This window comes from Homo sapiens, chromosome 1 (assembly GCF_000001405.40).
Source record: "Homo sapiens chromosome 1, GRCh38.p14 Primary Assembly".
Lineage (NCBI taxonomy): Eukaryota > Metazoa > Chordata > Mammalia > Primates > Hominidae > Homo > Homo sapiens.
The window spans coordinates 191,994,194-192,014,344 of record NC_000001.11 but is presented as its reverse complement, the minus strand read 5'-3'; the positions used below and the strand labels follow the sequence as shown (position 1 = coordinate 192,014,344).

The window sequence follows — 20,151 nt, the reverse complement described above, 5'->3', positions numbered from 1 at the left end:
GCCATAATAATTAAAGCGTTATTAAAAATTTATCCATGCATTTGCATTTTAAAGTAGAGTCCGAAAAAAATTACTATTTAACATGATGCCTAACAGAAAATAATAGGACAGAATGAAACCTGCTAATTAAATATATAATTTTTAGCAATGGTAATACTAAGCACTTCTTCTGGAAGTTAAATTGATAAAGATTTTTAAAAATCTTAATTATAAGTTAAGCTATATAACAACAAATTGAACATTATTATTATACATATTTAAAATTACATGAAATAAAACAATTCCTGAAATTATAATATTATTTTCTATAAGGTTTATGAGTGACTGTTAAGGATAAATGCCATCCCATAGTATTCTATTCCGAATCCATATTACAGGGCAAAAAATTATTTCCATCATCAACAATATTGATATTATTGGCCCACCCATGTTGTCTTAGGAGCGGTTTAAGTCATTTCTTTGTCACCTACAACTTGGAAGTAGGATTTACAGCTCAGCTTTAGAGATTAACATGATTATATTAATATGAGAAGCTTTAAAAAGCCACTAGAAATCTGTTTATTTTCTAATCAGTAAAAACCAAAATAGTTCATTTTAAAGTTTTTCTTTGTCTATTTCTATAAACATTCTGAATAGCCAAATTAGAAACTTTAAAAATATGTGCTCATCTCATTAAAAAAATCAGTAGTGTAGTCTCTTATACAAAGGGTCTTTCTTCAAAAAAATTTATAAATAAAGTTAAAATGTTGATTTCTTAACACGTTAAAATTTCATACATTAGGAAGTTTTAAAAAATATATATATCTAAATAATCCCTTTTGCTCTAATTTAATCTACCTGATTTTCTGATTACAAAAAAAGATAATAAAAAGTCTTTTAAAAAATTAAACATTAAGTTTTGAAAAAGAAACATATGTTTATGTTAAAACATTCACAATGTATCCAGAACAAAAAGAGGAGAAGCCTAGCTCCCCTTCTTTATTCCAAAAGGCAACCACACCTGCCAAGTTATTTTTACTCTTTCAGAAATAAAAGTATATTAACATATGCTCAACGTGTTGATAATGTATTGAAGACCATTGAATATAGGTTTCAGGAGTGTAGAAACTGTGGGGTCTGACATAGTGTTACATGGACCATTTATTTTGTATATATGTAAAGGATACTTTCACTCCTATTGACATAAAATGTAATTGGAAAACGTCTCTTCACAATCCTAAGCACATATATCAATATTTATCTATCATTCAACTGTTAGACAAATTACTTCTCTTACACAAAGATATTTTAAAGAAAAAGGAAAGCAAATAAAAAAGTGGCAATTTACTAGTGACAATTAATATAAACTTGTAAAATACATATAATATATATGTTATACATATGTGTGTGTGTAATTTTTGAAAGAATATAAACAAGAACTCAATGGGAAAGATTAAAATGCAAATACATGCCCAAATACACAAGTCGAGTTTTATAATTTAGTGAATAATTATTTTTAGACTATAAATTAATGAACATCCACCATTATGTTTTGTGGGATGGTCACTGGTTTTAAGAGGTCACCCAGTGAAAACTGGGATAATGAGATTTGTAAAAGTAGAAGCAGCAGACATGCAATTAATTCCTGCATGAAAAGTCAGAGGTTGAAATTAAGGAGTTTAAATAATATATTTATTTTCCCTTACAAAGCCTACACACACAGTTAAGTATAAAACATTTAAGAAATAATTATATTTTGTTTAGTTAAGAAAAAATAATGAATAAATTTACTAGAGGTTGTGTTATCCTATTACTAGCCATTGTTACATTTATTTTGAACATTACAATCTTAAAATTTTTCCATCATACAAATATTTTATCAAAGTAGAATCAAAGCTGTGTATTATGCCCATGAAATTATTCTAAAATTTAAATATATTGACTGAGTATCTCTATAGGCTGATTTATTTTCCTCTTTTTAAAAATACCAATAATAGATGCAATGGAAGAAATTCCCAGAATACATTCAAATTAAAAATATCTCTTTTTTTTGCAATTGCAAATACCCTATATTTCTGAAAAATACCTAAGAATCCAATTTGTGAGGCAATAATATGTACCTATAGACATCAGGATTTCCAAATTTTTTGGCATTCTAACATTGACTATAGCAATATGTAATCCACCAATCCCCTAAATAATGTTAAAATAATTTGATTTTCATGTAGTATATTATAAATATAATATTTTGAATATATTTCTAAAATTTGGGGTTACCATTTTATTAAACTATATATAATGTATTTAATTGTATAACATGCATAAACTATAATATTCATACAATCTTCAACTTTTTCCATTTAATAACAGAGATGTGTAATAATTAAATGTTTACATAAGGAAATAATAATTTGTTAATAAATCAATTTTAAATTGACAGTTTATATTACATTTGGTTTTGAAACCAAAGGGATATCGAAAGGCAAAATAAAAGTTATTATATTTTATAATACAGACACTCTTTTTATTCCTTATTTATAATTATTGCATTTTTATTGAAAAATCAAACCAGCCGGGCAAGATGGCTCACGCCTGTAAACCCAGGCAAGGCCGGCGGGGGCGGGAGGATCACGAGTTAGGAGATCGAGACCATCCCGGCCAACATGGTGAAATCCCGTCTGTACTAAAAATACAAAAATTAGCTAGGCGTGATGGCATGTGCCTGTAATCCCAGAAAAAAAAAGAAAAAAAGAAAAAGAAAAAAAAGAAAGAAAGAAAAAAGAAAAAGAAAAAGAAAAATCAAATCATTTAAGTTAATATTTTGTGTTACAAATGAAAAGATGAAAAGTTTCAGTTTGCTATGATTTTTAAATGCCAAACTTCTCTTAATCACAACTATATTTACTCTTTTAAGCGTTTGTGTATTAAATTATTGAAAATCTTGAACTTTTTAAATGTCAGATTCCAATGGATATAAGCATTTCAAGAATATCTAGGGGGAAGTTGCAGAATTATTAGAATTGTGCCTTATGCTTCCTAATTGTTTATCAACTATCAATTATAAAAGTTAACAAGAATTTCAAGAATAAATGTAATATTTAAAGATCTTTTTCACAACCTTTATTTAGGTTTATCTTCCAGTCAGAAAAGTAAAACAAGTATAAGCATGCATCTTAACACAGTTTAAAAATTTAAGGATACTCATATAAAAACACTGAAATAAACAAACAGAATATATTAAGAATAAACAAACTCCTTTAATCCTCCCTGCTTTTTAAAGTGTTTCTAATGTTAAATCAACTTTCATTTTCTAGGATAAATACAACTTCGTTCTGATGTATTTTTATTATTTTTACATAATGCTAGATTTACTTAACTTCTTAAGATTACTGGATCTTTTGTTCATAAGTGAGACTGGCTTTAATAGTTCTTTCATACTCTTTGTTCACTTCCAGGGCTAAGATTTTCTACTCTCAGACTGGGTTGGGGAATAGATCCTTTTCTGTCTTTTGGAAGTGTTTAAGATTAGAATTATGTCTGCAAACTTTATTCAAATTTTTCCAGTGAAACATTTGTCCTGGGTGTTTTCATTATTTTTCGTTGTATTATGGATAACTTAAAAATATACAAATGTCATGTCTCTACAAATACATGCAATATTCTATGTTATTTATACTGGAGCAGTGATTCAGAAACATTAGCTTGGATCAAAATTACCTAAAGGGCTTGTGAAACCACAGGCTAATGGGCCTCATGTGCAGAGTTTTGGTTACAAAATATGTGGTTTCCTCAGAGTTTGCTTTTCAAACAAGATCTCAAATGATCCTGTTGCTGCCAGTGCAGGGATCATCTTTGAGAACCACTATGCACAAAGGTTGGGACAAAGATTATTTACCACTTAGCTTCAAACATTATTAACCCATGGTCAATCTTACTTCATATATGTTCTTACCATATCCTCTTATCCAGATTCCTTTGAAACAAACGTCAGATATTATTTTATTTGTAAACGTATCAGTGCTTAACTCTAAAATACAAACACTCAGTTTTTCTTAGTATTAGTACAGTTATGCACTACATAATGACATTTGGGTCAACGACAGGCCGCATAGACAGCAGTGGTTCCATAAGATTAAAATGGAACTGAAAAATTTTTATCACATATTGATAGAATAGGTGACAAGCTATCTTAATGTCCTAGCCCAATGCATTACTTATGTGTTTGTGGTGATGCTGGTGTAAACAAACCTACTGTGTTAGTAGTAGTATAAAAGTATAGCAGTACAATTTTATACAGTACATAATACTTAATACTGATAATAAATGACCATGTTTCTGGTTTATGCATTTACTACACCATACTTTTGTCATTATTTTAGAGTCTGCTTCTACATATATATTAAAAATAAAAAAAGTTAACCATTTTAAACAGCCTCAAGCAGGTTCTTCAGGAGGTATTCCAGCAGGAGGTGGTGTTATTATAGGAGATGACACAGCTGCATGGACATATTGTCCACGAAGACCTTCCTGTGGGACAAAATGTAAAGGTCCAAGTCAGTGCTATTGATGATCCTGACCCTAAGTATACAGTGTTTCTGTTTGTGTCTCAGTTTTTAACAAAAATGTTTAAGAAGTAAAAAAAAGAAAATAGCTTATAGAATAAGGATATAAAGAAAGAAAATATTTTGTACAGCTGAACAATGTGCTTGTTTTAACTGATATTATAAGAGAGTAAAAAAGTTAAAAATTTAAAATTTATAAAGTTGTAAAGTAAAAATGTTACAGTAAGCTAAGGTTAATTTTGTATTAAATATTTGTTTTCTAAATTTAGTGTAGCCTAAATGTAGAGTTTATAAAATCTACAACAGCGTACAGTAATTTCCCAGTTTTCACATTCACTTACCAGGTCATTCGTGGTCAGTGCCCCATACAGATATATCATTTTTCAAAATTTTTATACCATATTTTTACTGTACCTTTTCTATGTTTAGATACACAAATGCTTAGCATTATGCCTACAATACTCAGTACAGTAACAAACTGCATGGGTTTGTTGCCTAGGAGCAGGAGGCTATATCGTATTGCCTAGATATGTAGTAGGCCATACTATCTAGGTTTGTGTAAGTATACTCTATGGTCACATGACAGCAAAACGCATGTCTCAGAACATATCCCTGACATCACATGACACATAAATATATAGAAAAATGCAATTGTGATTGATTTTTGTGTGCCCATCTGTATCCTGTGACTCTGATGAGCTCACTTAGTTCTAGGAGAGTTTATTTTTCTTTTGTGAATTTCTTGGGATTTTCTTCATAAATAATAATGGATATCTGTAACGAGAGAGAGAAAGAGTTTTATTTATTCCTTTGCAATCTCTATGTCATTTACGTCTTTTTCTTGCTTATTGTAACAGCTAGAACTTCCAGTACTGTGGTGAGTAAGAGAGTGAACACACACATACTTGTCTAGTTTCCAATTTTAGAAGGAAAGTTTTTATTTTTTCACCATTGAGTATGATGTTAGCTTTTTAGGTTTTTTATAGATGTTCTTCATCAAGTTGAGATAATTCCTCTCAACTCTTAACTTGCTGAGAGTTTTTATCTTACTGAGTGGCAGATCTTGCCAAAATGCTTTTCTTCTTTAGCATGTTTGTATTGTGGATTACATTTATTGATTTTCAAATGTTAAGTCAGCTTAGCATGCTTGAAATAAGTCCTTCTTTGCAATGGTATTTAATTATTTGTTTATACATTGCTGTATTTAGTAGACTAATGTATTCTTATCGGGGTTTTTGAGCTCATAAGAGATGATCTTCCTTCCTTCCTTCCTTCCTTTCTTCCTTCCTTCCTTCCCTCCTTCCTTCCTTCCTTCCTTCCTTCCTTCCTTCCTTCCTTCCTTCTTGTACTGTTTCTGGCTGGTTTTGTTCTCAGGGTAATTGTGGACTCATAAAATGAGTTGGTAGGTATTCCAGTCTCTTCTGTTTTTTTGAAAGATGTTGTATAATATTGATGTTAATTCTTTTTAAGTTTTTAGTAGAATTCTTTAGTGAAATCATCTTGGCCTGAATATTACTTTTTTGAGAGTTTTTAAGTTATAAATTCATTTTCATTAATGGTTTTAGGACTATTCAGATTGTCTATTTCATTTGCTTCAATTTTGATATTTATTGGTTTAGGAGGAATTAGGTTATTTCTTCTAAGTTGTTGAATTTATAAGCATAAAGTTCTTTTATAATTTTCCCTTTCAATTTTTTTAATGACTGCAAGGTCAGTAGTAATATCCCTGATTTAATATCGGTGATATGTTTCTACTATCTTTTTATTTTTTAAGTCTTGCTAGAGGTTTATAAATTTTATTGATCATTTTTCAAAGAACCAGTTTTCAGTTTCACTGATTTTTTTCACTGTTGTTTTTCTATATTCAATTTTGTTGATTTCTGTTTCTTATTAATTCCCTATATATGTTGCTATGTTGCCAGTTTCTTGAGGTAGGAATTTATGTTATTGATGTAAAGCTTTTCCTTTTTTTCTAATGTAAGCATTTAGAAGTTGAACACAATATAAAGATTGAAAATTGTTAAAATTTTGAGATTGGTTAGAAGTATTTTTCTATAGTGGGCAAACTATTTCTATAAAGTGACAGAGAGTACATATTTTAGGCTTTGTAGGCTAGTAGATTCTGTTTAAACTACTCGACTATTCCTATAGTAAGAACACTGTTATAAACAATACGTAAATAAATGAGCATGGCTGTCTTGCAATAGTACTTTATGTATACAAACGAGGAGAGGATTGAATTTGGCTGATGGAAAGGCAGTTGTGGACCCATGATCTAAAGGATGAACAAACTGAGACATTATCGTGCAAATCTGTCTACCAAATTGGGTCATGCTCATATAGCTTTGGAGAATTTCTATTTGTTCGATTTAAAAGGTAAACTACTTAAATAATTACTCTATTAATTTCTTTTAAAGACAGGAAATGACAGTCTTCAATTACTACTTTCAATGCTATAAATCTTCTAGAACATAATCCTTATGGGTTCATTTATCACCATATGAGAAAAGTCTAGAACACAATATAATTTTAATGAGTACAGGAACCCAAAGAAATTCACCACTATATCCTCAGCAACTAGCAGATGCTCAATGAATATTGACTTAATAAATGAATTAACGCAATGCTTTTATTATTTATGTTTCAGGCTATAATTTCATGTTATGGTGGCTTTTGGATTAAGAGACTATAAATGGGTTTGGGACAATAGATTATTAATTATATTTTCAAATAACAAAAAGAGAAATTACCTTCTGAAATAACTAAATTATTCAGTCTTTAAAACAAGGGGTAAAATGTAACATTTATCTGAATGTATATTTTACATTAGTGTGCATACATTCAACTTCCAATTTTTTTGCTTCTAAAACAATTTAATAAAGAATATTTTATGACTAGAACTGGTTATTTATTTTTAAATGAGTTTCCCAATATAAATTGGCAATTAATCTTCATTTTAGAAGACTGTAGATGGTTTTATTAGCTTCATTTTACAGTGAGTATTTGAGAACCATAAAGTTTAAATATCTTTTTCAGAATGATAATTAGTGTATATGCATAAAGAGAAGAAACCACATATTCTGGTTGCTATTACATCTCACTTCCACTAACAGTTAATGTTTAGAAATCAAGAATGAGACATTAGAGATGTACCTTGAGAACAAGGAAATTGAGATCAGGAGAATGACAGACTTCTAACATCAAACTTTTTTTATATTTGCTTTTGGAAATGTCAATGCAAAGAAAGGTTAATAGAATAAATTCTAAAAAGTAATGTTCAGATTAAGCAATGGATTTTTTTATTAATGATCCTTCTGAGAGCAGTGTAAACAACATTATTATGACAAAACTTTCACTGAATTGAGGAATTAGGATGAGATTGAGCCCTGGCAACATCAATATTATGAAAACTGTTTTCATTAAAATGGGACTGGGCTAGAATAAATGCGAATTTTAGTTGTTGTAAGTGAGCTTATACTGAAGGGAAGGAGCCAGTGAAGATGGAGACAGGGAAGAAATGGGGATGAAAAGACAATACCTGGGAGTGGAAAGTGAAAGCAAATTGAATTTATAGATAGAGAGATGCTTGTGGTCTTTTGGTGGTGTGTTGGAGCTAGTTCACCATGGCTCTGGAAAGCTCAGTCAACATATCTGGAAATTTGCCAGACAGCTGATTTCACATTTGCAGCTTAAAAGTGGCCAGGGTAGGAATATTTACACCATGGTAATTAGAAAATAGCACAAATCGGAATTTTTGTTCCACTTCACTGCCAGAGGGCTAGTTTTAAGCATTTATCGGCACACCATTGATTATAAGATTTAGTTTATGGAAACATTATAAAATTAAGCAAATAATTTAGTATGTATTTAGCAGTTATACCCGAGAACAACCACTTTACAATGTCAAATCTATTTTATTATAAACAAGGTTGTAAAATGTTACCTTTAAAAGCAATACACCAATAGATTTTTATGTACCAAATATTCTGTCATAAGTCCTAAGGGTGGGAGACTATCCCAATATTACTCACACTGATACATATGACTTGAGAAAATTTTTCTTATTAAAGCATCAGGAGGAAACCGTAAAGAGGATGCCCTCTGAAAAACTGTTAGATGATATAAAAATTGGCTCTGTGATGATTAATTGAAGCCAATACTACAAGTCAAAAACCGACATAATATGATTTAATACAAGGTTAGAAAGGAAAGCAAATGCTATATTTATAAATAAAAATTATTTATATAATATGTTATTTAAAATAGTTACATGTAATTATACTAATAAACTACTATCAGTAGGTATTTTGTTGTTTTACCCCTAAGTTGTCATATATTCAAAATGGCCAGGTATCTTTTAAAATATCTTTATGTTTGAAAAATAAAGTATCATATTATTTTCAGGTTTCTTTTATTTTTAGGAATGCATTATAAATTTTACAGGCAGGATCAAGAATAAGTTGTATTCTACATCTGATAATTTTTCCATAAAATTGTAATATAGATCTTTGCCAGTTAACAAATAAAGTTAACTTCTCAAACTTCCTGTAAGTATTAATGTGAAAATAAATTGACAGTAAACATAAGTATTAATTCTTATTAATAAGTATTGATATGAAAATAAATTTATAGTAAGCCTAAATGTATTTGAACAATTGTTTATTTTGCTTGTAAGAATTTGGCAACTTGATTATTTGACAGACTATTTGAAAGAAGTAAAATGTGAAAGATAAAAAACTACTGGCCTAGTTTACATTTCTATTTGTATCTTTAAATCTTAGAAGAACAGAAATACGTAAGTGAATTTTTTATACTAATAATGCTAGTGTAAATATATAGAGTTGTAGGAATTATCTGCATGTAGCATTCACTGGATATTGACTTAACCAGTCACATATTTCTCCACAAATTGTTTCAATCACAAAGAATTTAAAATAAAATTCCATTTTGGGTTAGCTTGATTCAATCAATATTGATAATATCAAATCTATGGGCAATATAATGAAGTCACCTGGCCAATAGTTATTGTGTTTTCTAAATGAGTACTGTCAATTTCTTTTCTTCAATTCAATGACCTGACTTGATTTTGACATTATTCTGTATATTTTTCTAATATTATAAACTGCAATTTAAAATAGACTGAGATATAATCAGTCAGGTATAAATACCTGTTCCTTCAGCTTCCAGGTCTCTCTCTCTCCATATCCTCCAGGCAATGTGCAAATGCTCAGCTGGCAAAAGGTTGTCATTTTATTATTAACAATGCTTTATGGCATTTCAACCACTCAAGAGATGATTAAAATTACACTTCAGCTGGAATATTGTTTTTCAGCTAACACTATAAAAAAATATGTCACAGGAGGAGCAAATTTAGTAATGGAAGGTAGAAGTAGGGGTAAATTTTAAATGAGTTTTCTTATATGGTTAGCAGTTGACATTGACCCACAGAATTCTTCATCCATCTGCAATGAATTTTCTCACGTTCAGGGTCTGCAGCAGGATGGTTCAAAGGCTATTATAGCTTCCCACATTTTTTTCATACTGATAAATTAACTGAATTCATCAAAACCTACAAAACATTTTGTTCTCTCTCCTTTCATTCTATAAATACATTCTAAATATCTATCTAGTAGAGAATTTATTCCTACCTCTATCTTGGTCACATTCGTTTTTTTTTTTTTTTTAATCCTTCTAAAAGATAATCCCTAATCAGTCTAAATGAAGAAGAGTGGTGTTAAGAAAAATCTCCCTACCCAAAATGTTTAAGAACCCCAAATTATTAAGAACCTATAATACTTAAGAAGACAAAATCTCTAGGCTAAATTAGTGTTAACAGTATCAAGCAAATCAAGCAAAAAACTTCACACATGGTGATCAAACACTAAGAAGAAGTCCCCATGATCACCCTCAAACCTCATACCTGCTGCACATCTCAGTTGTGTAGTCCTTGAATTTTCTTCCCACCTGTCACCTTTAACATCGGGTGTCTTGAGATGTGGGTTCCTCAAAGGGAATTTGGATCTCTTCTTTTTGACCCCAAAGTGAAATACAATTTCCGACTCCCTGTAATTTTTTTTTTTCCTATTTGGTTTTTTACTTTTCCCGTTGTTGATAACTGAAACTAAAATTTAGAATTTCAATGACCTCTTAGCCCTCCTATCTTTACTTTCATTTTGATGACACCAGTACTAAGATTATAGAGTGGGACAGGCTGTGGATTCAATATAGATCATCCTCTATCATATCCTCCTTTAATAAAAATATATTTTATTAATTAGAAAATAATTGATTTAAAATATTGGAAGTAAAATCACAGAAAAAATGAAATTTTAAAAATTAATTTAAAATCACATCCATGTTCTTGAAATACATTTATATTGTTTCTTAGAAGAAGAATTTATGGATCAAAGGATATGAATAATTTAAGTCGTTAACAATATTGCAAACTTGAACTCCAGAAAGTTTATGCAATTTTAGAATTTTGGACTCCCATAATTTCTGTCGAAGAATGTGTGTCTGTTTATTTTTGTATCATAAATCACACATTGTGATGCCATGTTTGCATTTATATATATATTTATATATATTTATATATATATTTATATATATTTATATATATATTTATATATATTTATATATATATTTATATATATTTATATATATTTATATATATATTTATATATATTTATATATATTTATATATATATATATATATTTATATATATTTATATATATATTTATATATATTTATATATATATATATTTATATATATTTATATATATATTTATATATATTTATATATATTTATATATTTATATATATTTTTATATATTTATATATTTATATATATTTATATATTTATATATATTTTTATATATTTATATATTTATATATATTTATATATATTTATATATATTTATATATTTATATATATTTATATATATTTATATATTTATATATATTTATATATATTTATATTTTTATATATATTTATATATATTTATATTTTTATATATATTTATATTTTTATATATATTTATATATATTTATATATATTTTATATATATTTATATATTTTATATATATTTATATATATTTATATATTTTTATATATATTTATATATATTTATATATTTTTATATATATTTATATATTTTTATATATTTTTATATATATTTATATATTTTTATATATATTTATATATATTTTTATATATTTTTATACATATATATATATCTTATAGAATGTGTCTATGGTAGTCCGAATAATGCCCTCCCCATCAAATGTTCACATTCCAGTTCCCAGAACTTGTGAATATGTTGCCTTACATAGTAAACAAGACTCTGTGGTGATTAAATTAAAAATCTTTTTATATAGAGAATGTCATGGATTATTCTGGTAAGTCTAACATTATCATAAGCATTCTTATAGGAAGGAGGCTGGAGAATCATAGACACAGAAGGCAATATGATAATAGAAGCAGAGGTTATAGGAAAGAAGATACTATGCTACTGGTTTTGAAGATAAAGGAAGGAAACACAAGCCAAGTAATATAGGCATTTGCATTGTCTTAGGCCACTAGGATTGTGGTAATTTACCTCCGTTCACTGCAACCTCCACCTCCCTGGTTCAAGCGATTCTTGTTCCTCAGCCTCCTGAGTAGCTGGGACTACGGGCACCCACCACCATGCCCAGCTGATTTTGTATGTTTTTAGTAGAGATGGGGTTTCACCATGTTGGCCAGCAATAGAAATCTAATACTGTATCATGCCCACAAAAGTATACTTATATATATAACCACATACACATACACAGTCTGAGGAAAAACAATACTGTTTACCCATCACCTGATTACAAAATAGTACATCACCAATATTCAATTTGAAATTTTTATTAGTTCCTCTCCACCCAGAAATTAACACTTCTCTGAATTTTATCATTTATTTTTTCTTATTATTTGAATATTTATGCTTGTATACTGTGTTATGTTATTTAATTTTACCTATTTTGATATTCAGGTAAATAGAAACATAGTTTATTATTCTGAATACCCCGTTTCCCAATATTATGTGTACAAGATTTCTCAAAATGCACCTGTGGAAGTGTGTTATTTCATTTTCATTGCTGTATAGTATTGCATGTGGTATGAATGTATCATAATTTTATTCGATCATGATAATGTTTATGGGCATGCAGGATGTTGCCATGTTGCCAGGTTTGTTTGTTTCTTTTCAAATGTAAACAGTGCTGCTATGACCATTCATTAACGTATCTTTCTGTGCACATGTTTAGGAATTTCTTTAGAATATATTTGAAAGTGGAATTCTTGTGCCATAGGATATGATATACTCCTTGTCAAAGTAGTCACATTAACACACCAACAGTAGTGTATAAGGAGATTCTTAGCCTTTTAAATTTACGCCAATCTAGGGATCATAAAATCCTGTTTTATTGTGGCTATAATTTGCATTTGACTGATTAATAATACAGTTTAACATATTTTCACATGCTTATTGACTATTTAGCTTGCCCCACTGTGAAATGGCTAATCATTTCTTTTGCTCATTTTTAATTATTTTTATTTTTCTTATGGGTTTGATGTTTTTCAAAATTGTTCAATAAATCAAGCAAGCTCTATTCATATATATTTATAAATACATATTCTTTCAATTTGTATCATTTGCTGAACCAAATTTGTTATTTTAACATGAAGTTTTAAATCTTCATTTTTAATCTTGGAGTAAATTTTTGGAGTTTGATGATCCAATTTGATTTATTTTTCAAGTTAAAAAAAAATGTAAACCATGAAGCTAATTGTTTCTGCATCATTTACTGAATATTCAATTTTTACCCAGTTATCTGTAAACACATCTGACAATTCCAAATATGTTTTGAACATTTTTTTCTTGGCACTCTGTTCTACTTCACTGAGTTCTATGTTTATCCTTGCACCACCGATTTCTTCAGTCTTAAATATTAAAGCTTCATATTAGTCTTGATCTTCTCTCTCTCTCTCTTTCTCTCCTTCCTTCCCTTCCTTCCTTCTTTTTTTTTCTTTCTTCGTTTTTTTCTTTCTTTCTTTTCTTCTTTTTTTCTTTCCTTCTTTCAGGGTGTCTATGACACCAGGCTGGAGTGCAGTGGCGCGATCTCCGTTCACTGCAACCTCCGCCTCCCGGGTTCAAGGGATTCTTGTTCCTCAGCCTCCTGAATAGCTGGGACTACAGGCGCCCGCCACCATGGCTGGCTGATTTTTATGTTTTTAGTAGAGACGGGGTTTCACCATGTTGGCCAGACTGGTCTAGAACTCTTGGCCTCATGTGATCCGCCCGCCTGGGCCTCTCAAAGTGCTGGCATTACAGGCGTGAGCCACCGTGCCCAGGCAAAAACTCTTCTTTAAAGAGAAAATTTACTGTTTTATATTTTTGCCTTAGATTTATTTTAGTATGTTATGTATTTTAGCTACTAATATATTAATATGTTTTAAAAAATACAATTTCCTAAATGATTGCCACTAGTGTACAGAAATTCAGTCAACTTTTAAAATTATATATGTAACAACCTTGAAAAACTTACTACTAAGTTTATTAGTTTCTGGTAGTATCCCTCTGATCTTTTAGTGGTAACCTTACATTTAAAGTACTTATATGAATAACTGTAATTTTGCTTTTACCTTTGCAATGGCAAGTGCTCTATTTTTGCATGTAGATGCTCTTATTTCTTTGAGAAGTTTCTCCAGAATTAATAACAATATACATTCTGGGTTTCAACTTGATTGTAAAGGGTATGCTTCCAATACCTTTCCATCTAGGATAATTTTCTGAATATATTTTTATAGAAATAATTTTTCCATGTAAACAATGTTTTCTTCTCTTAGTTACTGAGATATTTTTATAATGCATAAATTAAGAATTTAATCATTTTTCCTGCAACTTTTATAATCATTTGTTTTTCTTTCAGCTGTTAGTATGGTAAATTTAGATTTTCTAATATTGAGCAATTCTTTAAAAAAACAAATATTTTCATACACACAAATTGACTCATTTTATTAATATTTTGTTAAATTCATCTAATGTGATGTGTGTGATTAGCCTTTGATTTTTACTTCTGATAATATTCTTATCTATTCTTACAGCCAAAAATGTATCAGCTTCATAAATGTTGCTATATGTTTCTTTTTTCCTGGAAGAATTTTTCAAATATTGAAATTATTATCTTCATCAAATATTTTGCAGATGATTAAAATCATTTAGGTTTTCTACTTTCTTTGTGGAAAATATCTCAAATGTTGAAAAAAATAAGTAATAGTTAATTGTAGAGTGCAGTCTTTTCTAAATCCATTAAATCAAGTGTATCAATTTTGTTGTAAAGTTTTCTCTTTTCTGATTTTTTGCATGCTTCTATTATTGAAAGAGAGATATATTAATTTATCTCACATGATATTTAATCCCTCAATCTCTTCTTGTGGTTTTGAACATTATTTGCCTTATATACAAGCAAACTGTTAGATATATGTGTATTTTAAATCCTTATATTTTCCTGGTAAATTATTTCTTTTAATATAATAAGGACTCTTAATTATTAGTAATAAAGAGAGTCAACATTAGTGAATTATTAATAACTTTTTTAATAGCATAAAGTCTATTTGGGGTAATTGTATTCTTATTTTCACTTTAAATAATCTGAATTTATTAATTTTTTTAATTTCTTAATTTTTTCTTTCCAGTCTAATATTCTTTTTCGTGTTTTAATTGAAATGTTTCATCCATTTACATTTCTTATGACATTTTAGAAATAGAACTATTTCTCTCAACTTATGTTTCTGGATGGGTATCTTTTTTTTTTTTTCAGGGTCTACTCTTACTCTTTCATCTGGGCTGGGGCACAGTGGCGTGATCAATGCTCACTGCAGACTCAGCCTTCTGGACTAAAGTGATTCTCCTGCCTCGACTCCACACCCTTTTAGCATTTGAGATATGGCTACTGTGCCTGAGAAAATTAATTACTAATTCTATTTAATTTAACTAATTTAAATTTAAATGGCTGCATGTTGTTACTGACTACCATATTGGGCAGAGACAGTCTATATAGACTCTGATTGCACTTTGTTTTATTGTTCAGTCTTTTTTATTGCCATCTTTTACTTTCCCTAACATTTTTAATGAATATATTCAAATATACAATAACATTTCAAAACCTTCACAGGGAAAACTATGTATCCTCTCCTATATTCTATTATTAACGTTTTATCTTATTTGCATATGCAGCTATCCATCTATTAATCCTTAATTTTAACACACGTCAAAAGAAATTGGAGATATCCATATATTTAGCCATACTCTGTTTTAAATCGGCATCACAAGACTATTCTGTCAGATTCTCTAATGTGCTTTACACTGTTACAAATAACATATTTGAAATCAATGACACATATATTTTCCTGAATCTAACCAAGCATTGATATTATGAGTATAATATTCTTGAGTTTGATGATTTTCATCATCATTACATTTATTTCTAAAATTCCCAAATAAATGTATTTATCCACTAAGGAGAAGTATAATCATCCCAGGAGAGGTGGGGCTTTGTCTCAATAAAGATGACCTGTTATGTTCCTTGAGAAAAGCATAACACCCAGATGGACCTTCTGGCACTGACTTCTACATCCCCTCCCCGATTAGAGATAACTTCCTTCGGGACGTCCTGCACCACCCGAATGACACATTAATATTAATATTGCTTTTTTTCTTTTTTTTTTTGCTGGGCCACAATTCTTGCTGACATTTAAATGAAATCTAATTGTATCTGTATTTCTGTGATATTCGTAGTCTGTACTTAAAACATTAAATTCACATAAATGACACTAAACAAATATTAAATCTAGTATTTTGTTATTTTAACTTTTACACACTAATTTTTCCAGAAATTACTTTTGTGTATGTAAATTTTTAAAGTATCCAGCCATTTCTTCTTTTTCAATCCTTTATTCACTAAAAAAAATTTTTTTAAAGTTGTACTTATTTTTATTACTTCTATGTTTGTTAGTTTTGCTTATTTTTTTCATTTCAGTGTTAATTCTGTTCACATCTACTTGAAAGTGATTTTCATGTATTAAGGCAGCATTTACCAAACCGTTTTTAAAAAACTATTTCTAGTAGAGCCCATTAGGTGCTCCTAGAGAAGCCTATTCCATTAAAAAGTGTTTTGAAAATTTTTGTCTATTAAATTTCCTTTGGAAACATAACAACATATTAATTTTGAAAACATACTTTAACAGGCCACTAACATGAAATCATAGTATTAAGGACATTCATCTTTTTTGTCCGTAAAAATTATTTCAGGTTATTTAATAAACCCAAACAAAAAACTGGTGTTATTTTTATTGAACGCTGTTGTCTCCTGTAATCAGACATCTATTCCTTCCTATGTATTGTAGTATTTTAATTATTGTAGCTTTGAAGCGTATTTTTAATTTTTTATTTAGCAATAATGAAATAGAAATTTCCAAAAATAATACACAAAATCCTGTGTAGCTTTTACCCAGCTTGCCCCAATGTTGACATCTTACATAACTATAGTACAATATCAAACTTTCAGCCATTATTTCTTCAAATATATTTTTCAGCTCTTGAACTCTTTCTCCTCTCCTTCTTGACTCATATGACAATACAAGTTAAATATTTTTAATTGTCCTATAGATAACTGAGTTCATAGATTTTGTTAGTTTTTCCTTTTTTGTTCAAATTCAGTAATTTCTATTGATTTCTCATCAAGTTCACTAATTCTTTCCTCTGTTATCTCTAATCTACTTTTTTTTTTTTTTTGAGACAGGGTTTCCCTCTGTTGCCCACTCTGGAGTCCACTGGCACAATCTCGGCTCACTGCAACCTCCATCTCCTGGGTTCAAGTGATTCTCCCGCCTCAGCCTCCTTAGTAGCTGGGATTATAGGCGCCGGCCACTGCAGCTCAGCTAATTCTAATCTAATTTTGAGCCGAGTCAGTTGAAGTGTTTTTTTTTTTAATTCAGTTATTTTATTTTTTAGTTTTATGAGTTCCCTTTGATTCTTTTTCATATCTTCCATTCACCCTAAAATCCTTATCAGATAATTTCATCTCAGTTATCTCAGTACTGGAATATTTTGAGTATATTTTTTATTCAAATTGTTCTCCAGGTTCTTTGTATGATGAGTAGTTTTTTATGGCATCCTGGACATTTTTGGAATTAAGCTGTGAGACTCAGAATACTATTTATTCTTGTTTAGCCAACATCACAGTGTTTAGGTGTAATAAAAAGCCTGCTTTGGGATTTATGTTAAGCTCACTTTGGGCCCATTTACACCACCCATTGAAATTGAAGTACTGATTGGCACAGAATCATTGTCCCTGAGAAGAAGCCAAAGTTTGGCTCCCAACATCTTTTTCTACATGACCTAAACATACACCCAGGTATTCGTTTCAGTTAAAGCTCCCAGACCTCAGTTTTTTGTTGCTGTTGTTTGTTTTTGTTTGTTTGTTTGTTTTTACTTTACTTAGTCAATAACTTCCATGAAAAAAATCTGGTCACAATAATACATCCCTGAGAAATCAAACTAATTATTTTCAAATAATATGAAAAGGGAATTAGCCTGATAATTTGATGGCCATACAGAAACTTCACTTTCTTTTCTACCTTAACTCTCTCTTTTCTGGAACACAATAATATTCTCACTTATAATTTAGGAAGTTGTATTCTCTCAATGTAATGAAAAGATGGAAAGCTAGTTAAGTTAGAGAAATACAATTACATATATACTTCTAAACTTCAATTTACTTGTAAACATTTCATTATTATATATAGTATATTAAACAAGATAAAGAGAAAAATGTGATTATCAATACCTACTGTTTTATGTATTTGATATCCATTGTATGTAAACATTAAGAGCAAAACAAAAGCAAAGCAAATGCAGGGCATATATTACCTATTTTAACTGTGAAGGAATTGATGCTTAGAAAATTAATTTGTCCAAAATCATACAATTAGTGATATACTTCCAGTGTGTTTTAATTTAAGACAATAGAAGGATTTTTCAGAACAACTTTACTTATTTTTAAGGAAGTATTTCCTTGATCTTTCCAAGTAAATAGCAATTGACAAAGCCATTTTGGAATATAACATATTTGAATTTTCAAAAGAAAAAAAACCTAAATTAAGTATTTCTAATGAGAGAACTTCGGATTTAATTCGTGTTTAAAAATAAAAATTAACAAAATATAGTTCCTACTTGGAAAAATAAATATATTTACCCAGGAAAGTGAACTTATATTTTCATTTTTCTTCATATCAACGTGTCCTAAGAAATTAAGCCACTTGCTACACATTATATGTCTTCAACATTAAAAAATTAGAACCATTCATGTTCTAGAAGTAGCAATATTATATTCTATTATTAAATTATTGTAAACAGCTCCCTAGTTTATAAGGGCTTAATCACCAATGCAACAGATATTTGAAGAGCTACATTGCCAGATTTACTTTATAATTTTAATTAACTGCTTTTTTGCCTTTCTAATTAAATTTGCTCTTGTTATTTTTGATGTTTTAGCATTGGTAGAGAACAAACTTTGCTGGCAAGACTCAGGAATATTTTCAACAGTAATGATCATTTTCAATATGAAAGAACAAGAAAAGAAGAAACAGAGTGTTCTAAATACTAAGACTATGTTAAACAAATTTGGGGTATTTTAAAAAATTATGTCCAGGTTATAAAAATAAATCTTGGAAAGCAGTTATCAACATTTGCCACCTAAGTATGTCAGTTTTATTTCATATTTTTAGCAAGATTATATGCCATGAAATTTAAGTAGTTCAATGTGGTATTTGATTAAAATGTGATTTCATAAGGAAACTTTGTATATGGGTCAACTATTGATCATTGTTATAAATGGACTCATGATTTAAAAAAAGTTAAGATGCTAATTACTGAGAACATAAATTTATGTAATTTTCTATTTCCTTTTCCTAAAAAACCAGTGTTCTTCAGCTATTTAACCAGTTGTATCCCTTTTGTTCATGTCAAAATTCTCTATCTTTTTCAAAATAAAATTCATTATTTTTCTTTTAATATTTTCTACCTATTATCACCATAAAGATCACTATTCAATACATTATAGCTGTTTTAATGTTTGTTTAGTAGCTTTGTCTAATACCTTCTTGATCGAGAATTATTTGAATTATTCTATATAGGTTGCTGAAGGCATTTAATTTAGTGAGTAATTTTCTAAAGTCAAATTTACTTCCTTCTCAGCCCGATCAGCTTCTATATGTATTCTAACAACTTGGGACTTAAACTCATACTCACAAGTTATTTTTCTTATGTTGGAGAATCATCATTTACACAAATTTGGTTTTCTTTTAATTCTATCAATGAACATACAAATCCTTTGTTACACTAAATAGCTATCATAGAAAGATTAATGTTTGACATAGGTTAAAATTAATCATTGTCCCTTTCATTCCCAACAGAAATGACCTTTTCCCATGTACCACTTTCCCAGTTACTTAGGTGGTAACTAGAGACTATTTTTCAGGAACTTCTGAATTTCACTTGTTTTATGGACATAAACATATCC

At 29.1% G+C, this 20,151-nt stretch overlaps 1 long non-coding RNA gene across 1 annotated transcript in view; it reads right to left on the bottom strand.

The window, feature by feature from the left end:
• Positions 1 to 3,084: 3,084 nt before the first annotated feature.
• Positions 3,085 to 20,151, bottom strand: part of LINC02770 (long intergenic non-protein coding RNA 2770) — a 278,575-nt gene continuing 261,508 nt past the window's right edge. Inside the window, exon 10 of the long non-coding RNA NR_186758.1 lies at positions 3,085 to 4,506. This is a non-coding gene — a long non-coding RNA (long intergenic non-protein coding RNA 2770). The remainder of the gene's footprint in view (positions 4,507 to 20,151) is intronic.